The sequence below is a fragment of the Homo sapiens genome, chromosome 10 (assembly GCF_000001405.40).
Source record: "Homo sapiens chromosome 10, GRCh38.p14 Primary Assembly".
Taxonomy (NCBI): Eukaryota; Metazoa; Chordata; class Mammalia; order Primates; family Hominidae; genus Homo; species Homo sapiens.
This window is the reverse complement of record NC_000010.11, coordinates 58,583,683-58,603,981: the sequence shown is the minus strand read 5'-3', so window position 1 is coordinate 58,603,981 and position 20,299 is coordinate 58,583,683. Positions and strand designations below refer to the sequence as shown.

The following is a 20,299-nucleotide window of genomic DNA, read 5'->3' as shown; positions in this document are numbered from 1 at the left end:
CTTATTTGAAGACCGTTATGAAAAACTCCACAGGCCTAACTAATATTGGCAATACTTATTACGTACTTAATTACCTATTAAGTATTAAATTACTCATTAATTACTTAAGTACCAAATGAGTAACTAGTTGCCCACTTTTCTATTGACTTCATGATTTTAGAAATTGAACGAACAGAATGTTATTGGCCTCCCACTCCTGATAATAACTATTATGGAAGATTGGCATTTTCACTGCAAGTAGAATTCCACCTCCATCAATGTACATTCTATATAATTTCACCCTCCCCACAAAATTGACCTGTGAACTACCAAATGGATAATTAATCTGCATGATCCTTCCATCTTTTAACTTGCTAATACATTTAACTATACCACAAAATGTATATTTTTTCATTGGACACACTGACTAACTCAGTGTATCAACTATTACGCTCTACAGTGGACTGACGGCATACCAACTTACTTGAAGATACATAGAGGTAGCGGGGTGCTCACGAGAAAAATCAAGTTCTTATGCCCCACCCACAGATCCCACTGAATTTTAATCTTTCTGGGATCCCAGGAATCTGCATTTTTGCAAGCATGCCAGGTAAATTTTACACACAGGTAAGTCTCAAGCATTGTGACACCACTGGAATCACATGGTGAAATCAACACTACTTATTTCCAAACCATCAGTCAAGTTGGCCTCCTATAATCCTAACTAGTTGTACTCATTACCATCTATCCCATATTTAACTTAACCCCATGATTACAGAGAAATGTGAGGAAACAATTCTCTCTTTTAATTACTCTGAGGCAAGTAAGAGATTCAAATTTGCTCTCAGTGTTTAGCACAACTCATTATGACCTAAAAGAGCTGTTTTTCAAGGTGAAATGAAGGATGGTAGAAGCAGTCACTGATAGACATTTTAACATTAAAATATTCTAAACTTGATCTATTAAATGCCTTTTGAGCCCTAAGACTGTCTCATACTGCATCTCATTAAAAGAGGCCTGAAGTGCTAAAGTAAATCAGCAGGTGTCCAGTGGAACTGGAGGATTTTCTTTACTCAAGAAGACCAAGTCTATAATCCAGAGGTTTACGGAGTAAGTGTGGACATGCAAACAAAGGCAGCAAGGGTCATCATTCAGAAGGGATCTGGTCTATGATCCCAATGGGTCCTGTTTTAACCTTCTGCAAAATATAGCTTTGCATAATCAAGTTACTACAAATCAAAGTATTCTCATTTAGAAGGCCTAGGGAAACATTTAGGGGAGTTAGGGAAGTTCTTATTTCTTAAACTCAGCAATTTGCTGCTGATAAATCACACACCTACTTTTATGAAATTAAGCAGATCCCCTTCTCTCAAGACATTTAGTTTGAAAAAAGATAGATGCTTTGAGGGCTAAGCCATCAGTTTTCATCTCTGAAAAGAATCATTTGTTTTTGTTAAAGCTGGTCTAAATCTAACATCTGATTATAATTTATTCCGTTTAAAGTCCTTGGTTTCTTAACATGAATTCATTTTTCATCAGTAGGCAGCAAACCACCTTTAAATATGGTTTTCATTTCAAACAATGCTTGAAGAGTAATTTTTAGGTAATAGTCTTTGGCCTAGCATAAAAGTTATAACATAATGTTACCTCGATTTCCTTTCAAAAAATATGTGCGTACATTTATGATGCAAACACATTGGTCATACTCTAAGCCATAACTTTATTCTTATTCCCAGAATTGTAACTTTGGTTAAGGAGTCAAATTCTATCTCAATTAAAATGAATCTGCTACAGTTGCATAGTGGTCCTATAAGTATTATTATCTTGAACAGTTCTATCTTCTCAGCTGCTTTTCCTACTTTGTTTACTTTGGAAAGCTTAAACTCATTTTTCTTCTTAAATTCAAGAAACTTAAATGTTTCAGGCCTCATTTATTCACCAGCCTCAAAATATTCAAGTCCTTCTAAAAAGGTAATAAAAGTTTATTCTCTTTAATAGTTGGCAATGCTCTATCAAGTTCTGGATCTTCATGGCTGAGACACCTATCCTGAAATATATAATGTAAACATTCTCTAGAATATCTTTCTAATTTTGCTAAATCTGCTTAGATTAATTCGAGAAAGATTTGAAAATAAATTTTTGATCTTCAATTCAAGATACAACCCTTGAATCCATCCTTTTTTAAATGGTGTATTTTCCCAGGTAACTTAAAAGATTTTACCTCAGTTGAAGATTGTATAATTTATATAATTATAACCCTGAGATTCAGTAATATCATAAGCACTAGTAATGATGTAGTGTTTGTACAATGGCGGAAGTGTAAATTCACACAACCATTTTGAAGAATAATTTGGTTTATATAAAGAATAACTATAGTTTCCATGTACTTGATCCAGTAATTCTATTTCTAAGAGTCTAGGTCTTAAAAATATAATCCAAGTAAGAAGAGAAAGAAGAAAAACTACTGCCACAAACATGTCATCTTAGTAATACACATAATAAGCAAAAACAAGGAAAAACCAATATGGGAATTAAGAAAATTTAGATATAGACACTTTTTCAAACATTTTAAGGTCATTTGAAAAGATGATTTGGATTTGCAAAACTCTTTGAAGCAATAAGGAAAAATGATTATGATAAACTGCATAAAAAAGAAAATAAGGCATGATTTTTAAGTGGATTATAAAATTACATGTGAAACATGATTGTAACTATTATTCTTTAAATAAACACATAAAAACTAGGAACATTCATCACAAGATCAAAATGTGTATGCCAGGGAAGAGTATGATTATATTAAATTTTTTTTATTTTCCAAATTTTATTGGGAGATATATATATATATATATATATATATATATAAGTTTTAAAATGACTGCCTAAAAAGTATGTACACACATAAATACCCAAGTAAAAACTAGTGAAGTGTTCTTATCAAGTCTAATTCTATTTTAAATTATCCATTTGTGAGAAAAAAAGGATTCTAGTTGACCCTTAAACAACACAGGGGTTGGGTCAGCAACTACCTTTGGAAGTAGAAAATCCACGTACAACTTTTCACTCCCCTAAAACTTAGCTACTAGTACCCTACTACTGACTGGAAGCCTTACAGATAGCATAAACAGCTGATTAAAACATATTTTCTATGTTACATGTATTATATAATGTATTATTAAAATACAGTAAGCTAGAGAAAATATTATTAGAAAATCACATTTACTATTCATTAAGTGGAAGTGGATCATCATAAAGTTCTTCATCCTCATTACCTGCACACTGAGCAGGCTGAGAAGGAGGCAGAAGAAGAGAGTTGGTCTTGAGGTCTCAGGGGTGGCATAGGTGCAAGAAAATCCACACATAAGTGGACCCATACAGTTCAAACTCATAGTATTCAAGAGTCAACTATATTATATGAATTTGTATTCACTCATATATCTAACTAAATCTAGTAAAGAAAAGTTTCATTTCCAAAGGATATTTTAAGTTTAACAAAGTCAAAATGAATGTACAAAACAGCACATCTTGACCAAGTTCTTCAACTGTCTAAGCCTGAATGCTTACCTTCCAGTAAGTCGTGTACAGCTTCTCCCCATAGCTCTGTCTTAGAGACAGCCTGAATCTCTCCATTCCCGGGCCGTGGCTCACAACACGTAAAATGCAGTCAGCTTAACTGTACCTACTCAGTGGCTATAAACAGAAAGCTACAGCTGTGAGGCTTCCAATTAAGCACCTTTTATGAGGATAATCACAAGCCAACAAAAATGATTTTGAAAAACGGGGTGCTATGTGACATGCATGTTGTAACAGTAAGGGCTGGGAGCTGATGTCTCAAAACAGTGCTGCTGTATGAACTGTGAGGAGCCCCCAACACACATGGGCAGAAGCAGTGACTACAACAGGAGGAGCAAAAGCTTCCCCATCAGCAATTAGGAAACGAGAACGTGAGCATCAGTGGGATGCATTTTGAAGCAATTCTTGACAATCTTTGTCCAAATAACTTCCAAAAAGTAATGAATCACAGAATACAAACACAAGATGTTCCCACTGACACACACACACACACACACACACACCCTCTTTAGTTAGATTTTGTGAAAGACAATTAAAATCATGTTAGTCAGAGCAGGAGTGATGTTTGGGGGACAATCAGATCCCATAAGAAAAAAGTCTCTCTCTTACATCACCCTCCCACTCTTAAAAAGGACAAAAACTGGTCTCAGAATTTTTTCATAGAGATGTGCCTTGAACAGGTAATCCACACTGATCTGGTACTGTCCCCAACCCCTTTCTGGGTAGGATTAAGGAGAGAGAAAGAGGACAAGTAAAAGAAAATTCAGAGGAATTTTTTTTATTAATATGCTTTAAGTTCTGGGGTACATGTGCAGAACGTGCAGTTTTGTTACATAGGTATACACATGCCATGGTGGTTTGCTGCACCCAACAACCCATCACCTACATTAGGTATTTCTCCTAATGTTATCCCTCCTCTAGCCCTTCACCCACTGACAAGCCGCAGTGTGTGATGTTCCCCTCCCTATGTCCATGTGTTCTCACTGTCCAACTCCCACTTATGAGTGAGAACATGCAGTGTTTAGTTTTCTGTTCTTGTGATAGTTTGTTGAGAATGATGGTTTCCAGCTTCATCCACGTCCTGGCAAAGGAAATGAACTCGTCCCTATTTAGGGCTGCCTAGTATTCCATGGTGTATATGTGCCACATTTTCTTTATCCAGTCTATTATTGAGGTACATTTGGGTTGGTTCCAAGTTTTTGCTATTGTGAACAGTGCCACAATAAACATATGTGTGCATGTGTCTTTATAGTAGAATGATTTATAATCCTCTGGGTATATACCCAGTAATGGGATTGTTGGGCCAGATGGTATTTCTGGTTCTATATCCTTGAGGAATTGCTACACTGTCTTCCACAATGGTTGAACTAATTTACACGTCCACCAACAGTGTAAAAGGGTTATTTCTCCACATCCTCTCCAGCATCTGTTGTTGCCTGACTTTTTAACGATCGCCATTCTAACTGGTGTGAGATGGTATCTCATTATGGTTTTGATTTGCATTTCTCTAATGACCAGTAATGATGAGCATTTTTTCATATGTCTGTTGGCCGCATAAATGTCTTATTTTGAGAAGTGTCTGTTCATATCTTTTGCCCATTTTTTTATGGGGTTGTTTTTTTCTTGTAAATTTGTTTAAGCTCTTTGTAGATTCTGAGTATTAGCCCTTTGTCAATGCATAGAGTGTAAAAATTTTCTCCCATTCTGTAGGTTGCCTGTTCACTCTGATGATAGTTTCTTTTGCTGTGCAGAAGCTCTTTAATTTAATTAGATCCCATTTGTAAATTCTGGCTTTTGTTGCCATCGCTTTTGGTGTTTTAGTCATGAAGTCTTTGCCCATGCCTATGTCCTGAATGGTATTGCCCAGGTTTTCTTCTAGGATTTTTATGGTCCTAGGTCTTACAGTTAAGTCTCTGACCCAGCTTGAGTTGATTTTTGTATAGGTGTAAAGAAGGGGTCCAGTTTCAGTTTTCTGCATATGGCTAGCCAGTTTTCCCAACAACATTTATTAAATAGGGAATCTTTTCCCCATTGCTTGTTTGTGTTAGGTTTGTCAAAGATCAGATGGTTGTAGATGTGCAGTATTATTTCTGAGGCCTCTGTTCTGTTCCATTGGTCCATATCTCTGTTTTGGTACCAGTAACATGCTGTTTCAGTTACTGTCGTTTTGTGGTATAGTTTGAAATCAGGTAGCGTGATGCCTCCAGATTTGTTCTTCTTGCCCAGGACTGTCTTGGCTATGCAGGCTCTTTTTTGGTTCCATATGAAGTTTTATGTTGTGAGAAGTCAGGGACCCTGAATAGAGGGACCAGCTGGAGCTGCAGCAGAGGAACATAAATTGTGAAGATTTCATGGACATTTATCAGTTCCCAAATAAGACTTTTGTAATTCTTATGGCTGTCTTTAATCTCTTAATCCTGTTATCTTCATATGCTGAGGATGTATGTCACTTCAGGACCACTGTGATAACTGTGTTACCTGTACAAATTGATTGTAAAACATGTGTGTTTGAACAATATGAAATCAGTGCACCTTGAAAAAGAACAGAATAACAGCGATTGTTAGGGAACAAGGGAAGACAACCATAAGGTCTGACTGCCTGCGGGGTTGGGCAAAAAGAGCCATATTTTTCTTCTTGCAGAGAGCCTATAAACGGATGTGCAAGTAGGAGAGGTATCGCTAAATTCTTTTCCTAGCAAGGAATATTAATATTAATACCCTGGGAAAGGAATGCATTCCTGGGGGGAGGTCAATAATCGGCTGCTTTGGGAATGTCTGTCTTATGTGGTTGAGATAAGGACTGAGATACCCCCTGGTCTCCTGCAGTACCCTCAGGCTTACTAGGGTTGGGAAACTCTGCCCTGGTAAATTTGTGGTCACACTGGTTCTCTGCTCTCAAACTCTGTTTTCTGCTGTTTAAGATGTTTATCAAGACAATATGTGCACCACTGAACACAGACCCTTATCAGTAGTTCTGCTTTTGCTCTTTGCCTTGTGATCTTTGTTGGACCCTTATCAGTAGTTCTGCTTTTGCCCTTTGTCCTGTTCCCTCAGAAGCATGTGATCTGTGTTAGACCCTTACTAGTAGTTGTGCTTTTTGCCTTTTGAAGCATGTGATCTTTGTACCTACTCCCTGTTCTTACACCCCCTCCCCTTTTGAAACCCTTAATAAAAACTTGCTGGTCTGAGACTCAGGCAGGAATCATGGTGATTCCTACCTGACATGTGATGTCCTACTGATATGTGATGTCACCCCTGGCGGCCCAGCTGTAAAATTGCTCTCTTTGTACTGTCTTTATTTCTCAGCCAGCTGACACTTATAGAAAATAGAAAGAACTTACATTGAAATATTGGGGGTGGGTTCCCCCAATAGTTTTATGTAGATTTTTCCAATTTTGTATGGAAAGTCAGTGGTAGCTTGATGGGGATAGCATTGAATGTATAAATTACTTTGGGCAGTACGGCCATTTTCACAATATTGATTCTTCCTATCCATGAGCATGGAATGTTTTTCCATTTGTTTGTGTCCTCTCCTATTTCCTTGAGCAGTGGTTTATAGTTCTCCTTGAAGAGGTCCTTCACATTCTCTGTAAGTTGTATTCCTAGGTATTTTACTCTCTTAGTAGCAATTGTGAATGGGAGTTCAATCATGATTTGGCTCTCTGTCTGTTACTGGTGTATAGGAATGCTTGTGATTTTTGCACATTGATTTTGTATCCTGAGACTTTGCTGAAGTTGCTTATCGGCTTAAGGAGATTTGGGGCTGAGATGATGGGGTTTTCTAAATACACAATCATGTCATCTGCAAACAGAGACAATTTGACTTCCTCTCTTCCTATTTGAATACGCTTTATTTCTCTTGCCTGATTGCCCTGGCCAGAACTTCCAATACTATGTTGAATAGGAGTGGTGAGAGAGGGCATCCTTGTCTTGTGCTGGTTTTCAAAGGGAATGCTTCCAGTTTTGCCCATTTACTATGATATTGGCTGTGGGTTTGTCATAAATAGCTCTTATTATTTTGAGATACATTCCATGGGTACTCAGTTTATTCAGAGTTTTTAGCATGAAGGGGTGCTGAATTTGTTGAAGGCCTTTTCTGCATCTATTGAGGTAATCACATGGTTTTTGTGATTGGTTTTGCTTATGTGATGGATTACATTTATTGATTCGTGTATGTTGAACCAGCCTTGCATCCCAGGGGCAAAGCCAACTTGATCCCTCAAACAAGTTGAGCGGAACTTATTATTGGTTTATTCAGGGATTCAACTTCTTCCTGGTTTAGCCTTGGGAGGGTGTATGTGTCCAAGAATTTGTCCATTTCTTCTAGATTTTCTAGTTTATTTCCACAGAGGTGTTTATACTATTCTCTGATAGTAGTTTGTATTTCTGTGGGATCAGGGGTGATATCCCCTATATCATTTTTTATTGTGTCTAATTGAGTCTTCTCTCCTTTCTTATTAGTCTGGCTAGCAGTCTATCTATTTTGTTGATCTTTTCAAAAAATCAGCTCCTGGATTCACTGATTTTTTAAAGAGTTTTTCATGTCTCTATATCCTTCAGTTTTGCTCTGATCTTAGTTATTTCTTGTCTTCTGCTAAATTTTGAATTTGTTTGCTGTTGCTTCTCTAGTTCTTTTAATTTTGACATTAGGGTGTCAATTTTAGCTCTTTCCTGCTTTCTCCTGTGGCCATAGTGCTATAAAATTTCCCTCTACACACTGCTTTAAATGTGTCCCAGAGATTCTGGTATGTTGCGTCTTCATTCTCATTGGTTTCAAAGAACATCTTTATTTCTGCCTAATTTCGTTATTTACCCAGCAGTCATTTAGGAGCAAGTTGTTCAGTTTCCATGTAGTTGTGTGGTTTTGAGTGAGTTTTTTAATCCTGAGTTCTAATTTGATTGCACTGTGGTCTGAGAGACTGTTCGTTATGATTTCCATTCTTTTGCATTTGCTGAGGAGTGTTTTACTTCCAATTACATGGTCAATTTTAGAATAAGTGTGATGTGGTGCTGAGAAGAATGTATATTCTGTTGATCTGCAGTGGAGAGTTCTGTAGATGTCTATTAGGTCCACTTGGTCCAGAGCTAAGTTCAAGTCCTGAATATCCTTGTTAATTTTCTGTCTCGTTGATCTGTCTAATATTGACAGTAGGGTGTTAAAATCTCCCACTATTATTGTGTGGGAGTCTAAGTCTCTTTGCAGGTCTCTAAGAACTTGCTTTATGAATCTGGGTATTCCTGTGTTGGATGCACATATATTTAGGATAGTTAGCTCTTCTTGCTGCATTGATCCCTATACCATTATGTAATGGCCTTCTTTGTTTTGATCTTTGTTGGTTTAAAGTCTGTTTTATCAGAGCCTACGATTGCAACTCCTGCTTTTTCTGCTTTCCATTTGCTTGGTAAATATTCCCCCATCCCTTTATTTTGAGCCTATATGTGTCTTTGTACCTGAGGTGGGTCTCCTGAATACAGCACACTGATGGGTCTGACTCTTTATCCAATTTGCCAGTCTGCATCTTTTTATTGGGGCATTTAGCCTACATTTAGGTTAATATTGTTATGTGTGAATTTGATCCTGTCATTATGATGCTAGCTGGTTGTTTTGCTCATTAGTTGATGCAGTTTCTTTATGTTGTCGATGGTCTTTACAATTTCATATGTTTTTGCAGTGGCTGGTACCAGTTGTTCCTTTCCATTTTTAGTGCTTCCTTCAGGAGTTCTTGTAAGGCAGGCCTAGTGGTGACAAAATCTCTCAGCATTTGCTTGTTTATAAAGGATTTTATTTCTCCTTCACTTATGAGGCTTAGTTTGGCTGGATATGAAATTTTGGGTTGAAAATTCTTTTCTTTAAGAATGTTGAATATTGGCCCCTACCCTCTTCTGGCTTGTAGGGTTTCTACGGAGAGATCCGCTGTTAGTCTGATGGGCTTCCCTTTGTTGGTAGCCTGACCTTTCTCTCTGGCTGCCCTTAATATTTTTTCCCTCATTTCAACTTGGAGAATCTCAAAATTATGTGTCTTAGGGTTGCTCTTCTCAAGGAGTATCTTTATGGTGTTCTCTGTATTTCCTGAATTTGAATGTCGACCTGTCTTACTAGGTTGGGGAAGTTCTCCTGGATAATATCCTGAAAAGTGCTTTCCAACTTGGTTCCATTCTCCTCGTCACTTTCAGGTACACCAATCAAATGTAGATTTAGTCTTTTCACACAGTCCTGTACTTCCTGGAGGATTTGTTCATTCCTTTTTATCCTTTTTTCTCTAATCTTGTCTCCTCTTTTTATTTCATTAAGTTGATCTTCAATCACTGATATCCTTTCTTCTGCTTGATGGATTCGGCTACTGATACTTGTGTATGCTTCATGAAGTTCTTGTGCTGTGTTTTTCAGCTCCAGCAGGTCATTTATGTTCTTCTCTACCCTGGTTATTCTAGTTAGCAATTCGTCTCACCTTTTTTAAAGGTTCTTAGCTTCCCTGCATTGGGTTAGAACATGCTCCTTTAGCTTGGAGGAGTCTGTTACTACCCACCTTCTGAAGCCTACGTCTGTCAATTTGTCAAACTCATTCTCCGTCCAGTTTTGTTCCCTTGCTGGCAAGGAGTTGTGATCCTTTGGAGGAGAAGAGGCGTTCTGGTTTTTGGAATTTTTAGCATTTTTGCGCTGGTTTCTACCCATCTTTGTGGATTTATCTACCTTTGGTGTTTGGTGTTGGTGACCTTCGGATGGGGTCTTTGAGTGGATGTGCTATTTCTTTCCGTTTGTTAGTTTTCCTTCTGACAGTCAGACCCCTCTGCTGCCAGTCTGCTGGAGTTTTCTGGAGGTCCACTCCCGACCCTGTTTGCCTGGGTATTACCAGGGGAGGCTGCAGAACAGCAAAGATTGCTGCTTGATCTTTCCTCTGGAAGCTTCGTCCCAGAGGGGCACCTGCCAGATGCCAACCAGAGCTCTCCTATATAAGGTGTCTGTCGGCCCCTACTGGGAGGTGTCTCCCAGTCAGGATACAAGGGGGTCAGGGGCCCACTTGAGGAAACAGTCTGACCCTTAGCAGAGCTTGAACACTGTGCTGGGAGGTCCACTGCTCTCTTCAGAACTGTCAGGCAGGGACATTAATTCTGCTGAAGCTGTGCCCACAGCCACCCACTTCCCTAGGTGCTCTGTTCCAGGGAGATGGGGGTTTTATCTGTAAGTTCCTGACCTGGGCTGCTTCCTTTTTTTCAGAGATGCCCTGCCCAGAGAAAGGAAATCTGGCAGTGTGGCCACAGCAGCCTTGCTGAGCTGCAGTGGGCTCCACCCAGTTCGAACTTCCCAGTGGCTTTTTTTACACTGTGAGTGTAAAACAGTCTACTCAAGCATAGGCAATGGTGGACCATTGCTGAGGACACCCCTCCCCACACCAAGCTCGAACGTCCCAGTCAATCTCAGACTGCTGTTGTGCTGGCAGCGAGAATTTCAAGCCAGTGGATCTTAGTGTGCTGGGCTCTGTCAGGGTAAGACCCACCGAGCCCGAACACTTGGCTCTCAATGCAGAGGATTTTTTTTTTTTTTTTTTTTTTTTTTTTGAGACGGAGTCTTGCTCTGTGGCCAGGCTTGAGTGCAGTGGTGCGATCTCGGCTCACTGCAACCTCCACCTCCCGGGTTCAAGCAATTCTTCTGCTTCAGCCTCCTGAGTAGCTGGGACTACAGGTGCACGCCAACAGGCCCAGCTATTTTTTTTTTTTTTCACACGGAGTCTCACTCTGTCACCCAGGCTGGCGTGCAGTAGCATGATCTTGGCTCACTGCTACCTCCGCCTCCTGGGTTTACGCCATTCTCCTGCCTCAGCCTCCCAAGTAGCTGGGACTACAGGCACCCGCCACCAACCACGCCCATCTAATTTTTGTATTTTTAGTAGAGACGGGGTTTCACCGTGTTAGCCAGGATGGTCTCGATCTCCTGACCTCGTGATCCGCCTGCCTCGGCCTCCCAAAGTGCTGGGAATACAGGTCTGAGCCATTGCGACTGGCCCAGAGGAATTTCTTAAAAATTATTTGAAGGGTTTATAGAGGGAAACAAAAACAATGTCATAGCAGACTATTCTCTAAAGATATTAACTCAGTTCTAGCTGTTCCCAGTTGTCTCCACCACCACCTCTGCCTCCCTAACAAGAAGAAAAAATGGGCAATGACAAAATAGGGCAAAGAACATTATCCTAACTTTAGCCAAAAGTAATACTCGGCTATACAGGGAATACTGCTTGTTATTTCTCATCACAACACATAACAAAAAACCGTCTTCAAATAAGGGTAATTAATACAGTAAGTAAAATGTATGTTTTTCCTCTAATAAACTTTGTTGTGGAAATTTTCATTGCAGCAAGGATAAGTTAAAAACATTATAAAATCACATTTATAAAATTATAAAAGGTATGGAGAGAATACAAAGATGTGTCATATTCTGGAAAGTATATTCTGTATTACTCTATATAATCTAGAAAAACAATAAACAACACCACTTGAGAAACATTGCTAAGCACAACTTTATATGTGGTTAGCGAACATTAAACTCAATTGCACAGGCCAGAAATAGAAATAGGTACAAGAATTCAGAGCAATTCATTCATTCAACCATCCGTAGAGGAAGGATGTAAATTATAAAAAGCTGAGTGCTTGCAGCACATACCTAAACTCTTGAGAAGGCAATGGCCTTCCTAAAATCATAATATTGAGAGAACAGAGCACACAGCACAACAAAGCTCTCTCACTGCATCTCCTAAATCTCCCCATCAGTTAAGCTTAATTTTCCACTGTGGTCTGAATGCCTGTATCTCCCAAAATTCATATGTTGAAAACCTAACTCCCAAGGTAATGATACTTATCAATAGGTGGGGTCTTCAGGAGGTGGTTAGGTCATGTGAGGAAGCATTCAAGAGTGGGATTAGTGCCCTTATAAAAGAGAACCTAGAGAGGTCCTTTGCCCCTTCCATCATGTGAGGTTACAGAGAAGGCACATCTTTGAAGGCCAGACGCTTGATCTTTGACTTCCCAGCCTCCAGAAGTGGGAATTTTTGTTCATTATAGACCACCCAGTTGATGGTATTTTGTTATAGCAGCCGGAATGGACTAAGACATTTCCCATAGTTTTTACTATGCTAATGACAGGTAACATGAATCTGTTTTTCCGTCTTGACCAAAGAAAGTGTCCCCCTTTCCCTACCCAAGTCACACTTGTGGAGAAGAATATCAAGCTGGACTGAATCCTCCCTAGCACTGCTTATCTTCTTATGACTCAACAGCATCTAAAGCAACGTTAGCAAACATGTATGTGGCACCTTCAAATACATGATGCTAAGCAGATGTGCAGAAAAGAAAAAAAAATGCTGAGCCAGGTGTAACTAATGAAGGTCTATTTCCCAAACTGGGAAGTGTCTATTCAGGCCTTTGAGGGAAGGGAGGGGGGAACTAGTAGAAAAGATCATTGAACTAGAAAAGGCAAAGCCTGAGAGAACCGGTGGTCAAAGATCAGTTTTGTAAAAGCAAAACCCTACATTTTTAAAGTAAAACATTTCCCACTGTTTCCTAAGGATTGGCATGTGGTTATATTCTACACTTCTGCACAATCTTATTTTATTTATGTGGATCATTTGACAGGCAGCTGCCTTTTTAAATAGATAATCTAAAATACCTATAAAACTACAACAATGGGGAAGGATCTTAAATGCTGAGGTAAGTGAAGCCACTTTCACTAGAGAAACTTGGAGCACTTTCCATTAGGCTGTGGATTTGCAGTGAGAGAAAAATTTTTTTTTAAGTCTGGTAGAATTTCCAAGCTTCTGTCTTTCAAATAAAAGGGAAATACACTCACTTCCCAAAGCATCTATCTTTACAAGAAATTCAAGTACTGTAATTATCATAGCCTTCTTCAATACACACTTCAAATTTCTTGGCACTAACTGGAACTGAAAGCACCAAAATTCTCTTATTAAGAAGAAATTTTAAGAGATACTCTAAAATGGGGAGAGATTTGTTTTTAATAGACTTCCTTATAATGAGTCATTTCATAGAGAACTCTAGGATGGGAGCCAAGAACCAGCAGACACAACTCCTTAGCACAAGCAGGCAGTTTACATCCAATCTGGTCAGAGATGTCACGATTCCTGCTTCCAGTCAAGGCCAGACTGCGCATAGCTAGGCAAGGGATAGGCACTTAGTCCTTAGTCAGCAACAGCACTGGTTTTGGCAACTTATGTATAAAAGACAAATTTCTCCTTCATAAAAACAGTCCCATCAAACTCCCCTAAGTCCATTAAAATCAAGACTTCTGCTCCATGCTCAATGAATTTAGTAGAGATAGAATAATAACATACCATTCATAACCCCACTGGACTGATGATAGCTTATTGTTAATCCCATATGAATAAATGAAATTGTAGATTTCCTGGAAATAAATACACATGGGTGAGGATAGGAACAAAAGCTGTATAACTTAAGCCAGGCAAAGGGGTGTGCATATATGGTCCTAGCTACTCGGGAGGCTGAGGCAGGACGATCGCTTGAGGCCACGAGTTCAAGGCTGCAGTGCACTATGACCATGCCTATGAATAGCCACTGCACTCCAACCTGGGCTACATAATGAGACCCCATCACTAAAAAAAATAATAATAATAATTTAAAAAATTTGTAATGGCTGGGCACAGTGGCTCATGCCTGTAATCCTATTGTTTTGGGAGCCGAGGCATGAAGATCACTTGAGACCAGGAGTTCAAGACTGGCCTGGACAACATAGCGAGACCTTGTCTCTACCAAAAATTAAAGAACAAAATCAGCAGGCATGGTGGCATGCACGTCTAGTCCCTGCTACTTGGGAGGCTGGGGCAAGAGAATAGCTTGACCCCAGGCATTCAAGGTTGCAGTGAGCCATGACTGCACCACTGCACTCCAGCTTGAGTGACAAAGTGAGATCTTGTCTCAAAAAATTAAAAACTAAAAAAAAAAAAAGTAAAGCTGTATAACTTAATAACTAAGAATTATTAGCTCTGTGTGCCAGCTGTACAATTTTGAGCAAAATTATTTAACCTCCCCACACCTCAGTTTCCTCTTATGTGAAATGGTAGTAAAGCAGTTCTACCCATGTGTTTTAGACTGGATTCCCCCAGAAGCTGACCCTGTGACAAGTACCTGAGTGAAAGTCATTTATGCAGAAGGTGATCCCCGGAGGCGCTGGTAGGGAGGTGAGAAAGTGAAATGCAAAAGAGCAAAGAGGGAATCCTACATGGATGAGCGTGTGAGTGGGTTCTCTCTGTGGGCCACAGGACGAATTCTGCAGGGGAACTCTCGGAGACTGCAGAGATGGTATTCACCCACCAATCACCGTCACCGGTGTCACCGGTAGAGGGCAGCATCCACTGTGAGAGAGGTTCCTTGGCTGCCGGTGTCCTTGGACAGCAGTCACAGGGACTAGGGTGACCAACTCACCCTCCTTTTAGCACTAAAAACTCAGACTCTCTGGACAACCCTGAGATCAGGGCAAAGGGAGACAGCTGGTCACTCTACCTGGTGCTTGCAGTAGCCATCCTGACACAGGATGGTGAGTCGCAAGAGGTGTGGCCAAGTCTGCTATGCCATCCAATGCCATGAAAATCAAATGTGCTCCTTCACGCAGTGTGCTTAGCCTGGGGCCTGGCACTCGATATTGGATGTTAACTATTTTTGTATACTCAAAGCAACATAGGGATGCGTTTTTACTACCTTAAAGCCACATGGTACCTGTGACATCGTGTGCACAGCACCCTCTGGAGCTGGATCCACTAGAGAACAGTCCTCAGGCTGCCAGCCCCTGCCTGTTTAAATGGCTCCAGAATGCCACAAACAAGAGCCTCCAATACAAGAAATGCCTTTCTTCCCTCTCCATCACTGGCATGCAGTAGAGATCTAAGCTGGAATTCAAGGTAGACAAAAAAGAATGAAAGTATGAAATGCAGAAGCAGCTCTAACACAGTTTCAACCTTCACATCACTGCCACTCTCCCTTCCTGTAAAACAAAGTGACTGATGCATATGAGGACCCCAAATACTCGGTTTAACAAGATACACCCATGCACCCGCCAGCACCTCTGCTCCCACCACCAGATGTATCATCTACTTACCAAGGTTCAACTGTGTTTGTCCCCAAATGTGTTTGTCAAATAAATAATCACAAAATACATATTTCTAGTCAGCCTCTCATATTCAGAAAAGGCCTTGTCCCTGTAAATAAAAGGGGCAGGGGTCATGAATAAATACATACTAATATTTGAAGGGAATAAGATACATAGAGCATATATTTTTTATGATTCTTCAATTTCAGCAAGTTTATTTTGGTGTCAATCACAATGGAAAAGCATTTCTGTACATGAACCACTTTGTGTACCACTTCCCTAAATATATGCAGGATGGCTGATGTGTCTGTTCAAAGATATCTTCTTCAACAATCTAAATGAGATCCTCTTCAATGGTGGAAGATGAAACACCAAATCCTAGAAGTCCCTTCCTGACCATTAATCATGAAATGGAATGAACTTCCTCCCACAATACACAGAAAATACAAACAACCCTGTCAATTACTACTAACCTTAAACACACCCCTAGGTTACTCGAAACCCATAAGCTTAATGGGTAACTGACTCAAAGTCAGAATAAATGGAGCTTTTTAGCCAGCCAAACCCTATTTATACTACTCCGCCACTTTATCCTACAATAGAACATTTCCATATGCCATAACTTTGAATTGTAACTACATCAAAAATGTTTACAACATAGAGGGCTAAAGCTGGCCAGTTAAAGTTCAAAACCCCCAAGCCAGTAAGGAATATTACCTTCTCCTTCCTTACCATCTCCAACCACAAGCTTTAAGCAAAACCATAAACTAGCATGAATGAATTCCTCAAGAATACTTTTTCTAGATTGTTAAATCAATTTTGAGCTTTATTATGCTAAAGATTTTACGAAAAGTCCTACACTGGAAAATATCTGTAAGTGTATGTACTGACTTGAAATTCTGAATATTAAAAATAGCTTTCTTTTCCATAAAGCATCTGGGCCATAGGCTTTCCAAATGGACAGATGTAATGTAAATTTGCTATAGTGCTGGAGAAAATTCAATTCTGCTTAATAGGACAAGAAACTATGATCAATAAGACAGGAAAATACATGGGATAGATGAAGCTCATAAAATGTGTTAAGCATAGATAAGTAATGAAACCTATTAGGTAAAGCAAGCAGAACACGTATGCATGAACACAGAAGAAGACGGAAGGACCAAGAAGCTTCTAAAATTCATGAGGCACTAAATATGCATGAGGCACCTGAGGCACTAAATATTCATGCTGCACAAATTATATATGAGACATACGTGGCACTCAATATTCATGAGGCTTTAATTAGGCCACCCACAGTAAAGAACATTCTTATCCTCAGCACAGGACACACAAAACCCATAGCTGTCAGCAGGCTAACTAATCCCTGTGTCTCTCCCATAGAGAACAAATGGGCAAACGAGGCCAGAGAAGAACCTGGCTACAAGTTCATAATATTGGTTGATGCCTGATTCCTGAAATCACCCTCAGTTCAATGAGCTCATTGATTTACACGCACTTGCAGACACATAAACATACATATTTCCAGATGATATCCATATGTTTATGGGAATGTAACTGCATGCTTTCTGCCTATGTATACATATATTCATTTGCATGTATATGTATGTAGTCTGTAGTATGCATGTCTGTGGATATAGTGTGTGTGGGTATGTATATGTGAACATAGGAACTCTGTATGAGGTTTTTTTTTGTTTTTTTTTTTTTTGAGAGAGAGTGAGTCTCTCTCTGTTGCCCAGGCTGGAGGGTAGTGGCACAATCTCCGCTCACTGCAACCTCCGCGCCCCCCCGCCCCCAACCCCGGTTCAAGTGATTCTCGTGCCTCAGCCACCCGAGTAGCTGGTATTACAGGAAGTACTCTGCATGAATCTTATTCACTTTGTATTCCACTGTTAACAGCAGTGCCTGACACGGAGAAAGTACTCAGCAAATATTTAGAAAGTCAATTGGTAGTCAGTAAGAGATTACCAAGAACATGCAACTTGTAGAGCTTGACTTCATATAAAACAGGGATTGGGTCTTAATCACCTCATTTCTTTGACCCACCAATCCCTCAATCTTTGACAATATCTGAAATGTAGCAGACATATAATAATAATACTGGATGGATGGATGGATGGATGAATAAATGGGTTAAGAAACAAAAGAATCAAAGAAGGAAGTCACATTTTTAGGATTCTGCTTAGAATGGATTTAGTCCTCACGAAGGAAACTACAAATGCTTACATTTTTTTCTACTACTGGCATGTATAAACTATCACTTTCCAGTGTAGAAAATTGTAAATAATAAGGTGAGAGTGTCTCTTAATTGATAAAGTTTAGCTGGAGGAAAACACTTAAAATGAGTATTAGCTACTCATGTGGCTACTAACATACTGTGTATTTTATGTGTAGAATACCAGCCCCTACCTTTCAGAATAAAAGTGCTACTTCTGCTAACATACAACCACAATCTACCTTGGCCACCTCTCTGAAGGTACGTCATCATCTGTCACACATTGGGAGAATAATACCTACACTACAATATATGAAGTTGTTACAATTAAATGAACTTAATAATTATTAAGAAATTATACCAAATTCACAAGTCCATATCTGAGATAATCCATTTTCTGATTACTCCACTAAAAAACATAAAGCACACTTCACCACAGTGCTTTCTTATTAAAGAAAAGGGGAAGTATAAGGTTTTTCTGGGGGAGGAGGGAGAATGCACAATGAGATCCACTGGTCCCCTGTGAGGTGTATGACACACATATGCCGAAGACTGCAATCACGGAAAAAGAAAAATAGGAGGGGAAACTAGAAAGAAAATAGTTCTCAATTTATCAAAATATAAGCATTGATCTTTTTTACCCTAATTTGTATCACCATATTCAGAAAATAGTATAAATCACTTCCTTAAGTATAAACTTACTGTGAGTTGAGGCCCATTCATCATTGGATCTTCTAATGATAGCACCCGTCCTTAGGAACTGTTCAAAAGTGACCAGCACCAACCAACTGAATCATACCTGATTTTTAAAAGTGACTTGACAATGGCCACACAAAGATTTGTGTCACAGTTGGACAGGAACAGACCACACAGACTACCTAAGCCTTGCTTGCCAAAGTAAACAACTTTTCAAAATAAAAGGGAAAAAAATAGCAATACTGAAATGCTACCTAAATATGTTAGTCTTATTCAACACTACAAATAAATTATTGATCCGGTTCACAAAGCATTAAGTCAACTGAATTCTGCTTTTCATACTCTACCTGTACAACTCCCTACCACTTGCCAGGTATAATTGTAAATTAGAAACCTAAAGTGAAGGAAATTAATCACTAAACAGCTGAGGCTGCACAATGACTAATTTTATTTATGCTAAATTTTTATTAATGAAGTAAAACAAAAATACACAATCATTAATATTGGTTATAATCATTTATAACTTGACTGGTTAGTCTTTGTAAAACTCTTCCGCACTCATGTTTTTTCAAAAAATGTTGTATAACCATTTTGTCAGTCACTGTCATTGTGCTAAGAAAAAAAAAAAAGGCACTGCAATACACTAATGAACTCATCCCAATTTACCCAGGTGTTTCCTAGTTTCAGCATTAAAAGTCCCATGTCTTTGGAAACCCCTTCAGTGTTGGACAAACTGGAACAGCTAGTCACACTCCACTGAGAAACAAATGAAGGGAAAAGATAGATATACATTATTGTACTCACGAACCTTTCTGTGTAATGAGGAAAAGGAAAATTCTCTGACAATCACAAAAACAAATTATGTAATAGCATCCCAGCCATGATCCTCATATCCTGAAATTATAGCAAAGGCCCAGACCTAAGCACATCACAATATACATTCACAGAGCAGTCAGAGGAGCGCACCAGATATTGCCGAAGTCACCTCCTCCCAGAGTTTAGTAGGAGGCACCAGAACCGGCCCTAATTCCACCAACCATCATTTCACCCAAACCTCAGTCAGTCCAAAAAGGGGGCTCAGAACACAGGGTATGGTTACCTTTGGAGGACAACAGAATTCATGGGAGAGGTCATTTCTTCCCTTCCCCAATTTGAAGACAGAAGGTGTAAAATAAAGAGGATTGAGTCTTAAATGCTGAAACGATAAAGGAAAGCTATAAAATCTGGTTGAGATATCATTAAGAAATATGCTACATTCTACCTCACAGAAATGGGAATGTCAACATAGCGCAGGTGAGAAAAAATACTGAAAAACTGTGTGTGTGTGTGTGTGTGTGTGTGTGTGTGTGTGTGTGTGTGTTTCATGTTTACATTCAGAGTAGAGATACTTAACTACTCAACAAAACAGTTACAATTACAAACCATAACAATAGCTATGAAGAAAAAGTGGCCAGGTGCAGTGGCTCATGCCTATAATTCCAGAGCTTTGGGAGGCCAAGGCAGGAGGATGACTTAAGGCCATCCTGTTGGTGGGAGTATAAACTAGTACTACCACTGTAGAAAACAGTGTGGAGATTCCTTAAGATCTAAAAGTAGATCTACAATTTGATCCAGCAATCCCACTACTGGGCATCTACCCAGAGGAAAAGAAGTCATTATATAATACGAAAAAGACCTTTCACACACATGTTTATAACAGCACAATTTGCAACTACAAAAATATGGAATCAGCT

The 20,299-nt window shown here is 39.3% G+C and overlaps 1 protein-coding gene across 10 annotated transcripts in view; it reads right to left on the bottom strand.

Annotated features, from left to right (window-relative positions):
• Nucleotides 1-20,299, bottom strand: part of BICC1 (BicC family RNA binding protein 1) — a 319,216-nt gene that overhangs the window by 227,454 nt on the left and 71,463 nt on the right. For 2 of the 10 annotated variants that reach the window (XM_047425778.1, XM_017016678.2), the window contains exons 2-4: nucleotides 15,668-15,767; nucleotides 15,289-15,458; nucleotides 13,890-13,960 (exon numbers count right to left, since the gene is read on the bottom strand). The exons of 6 other annotated variants lie outside the window; for them this stretch is intronic. Coding sequence is in view for 2 of the 4 variants with exons in the window: in XM_017016678.2 (XP_016872167.1) it covers nucleotides 13,890-13,935 (46 nt within the window). In the remaining 2 variants the exon portion in view is untranslated. Of the gene's footprint in view, nucleotides 1-13,889; nucleotides 14,211-15,288; nucleotides 15,459-15,667; nucleotides 15,768-20,299 lie in introns of those variants that run through there. 2 more of the 10 variants (XM_047425779.1, XM_024448174.1) reach the window with 2 other exon arrangements.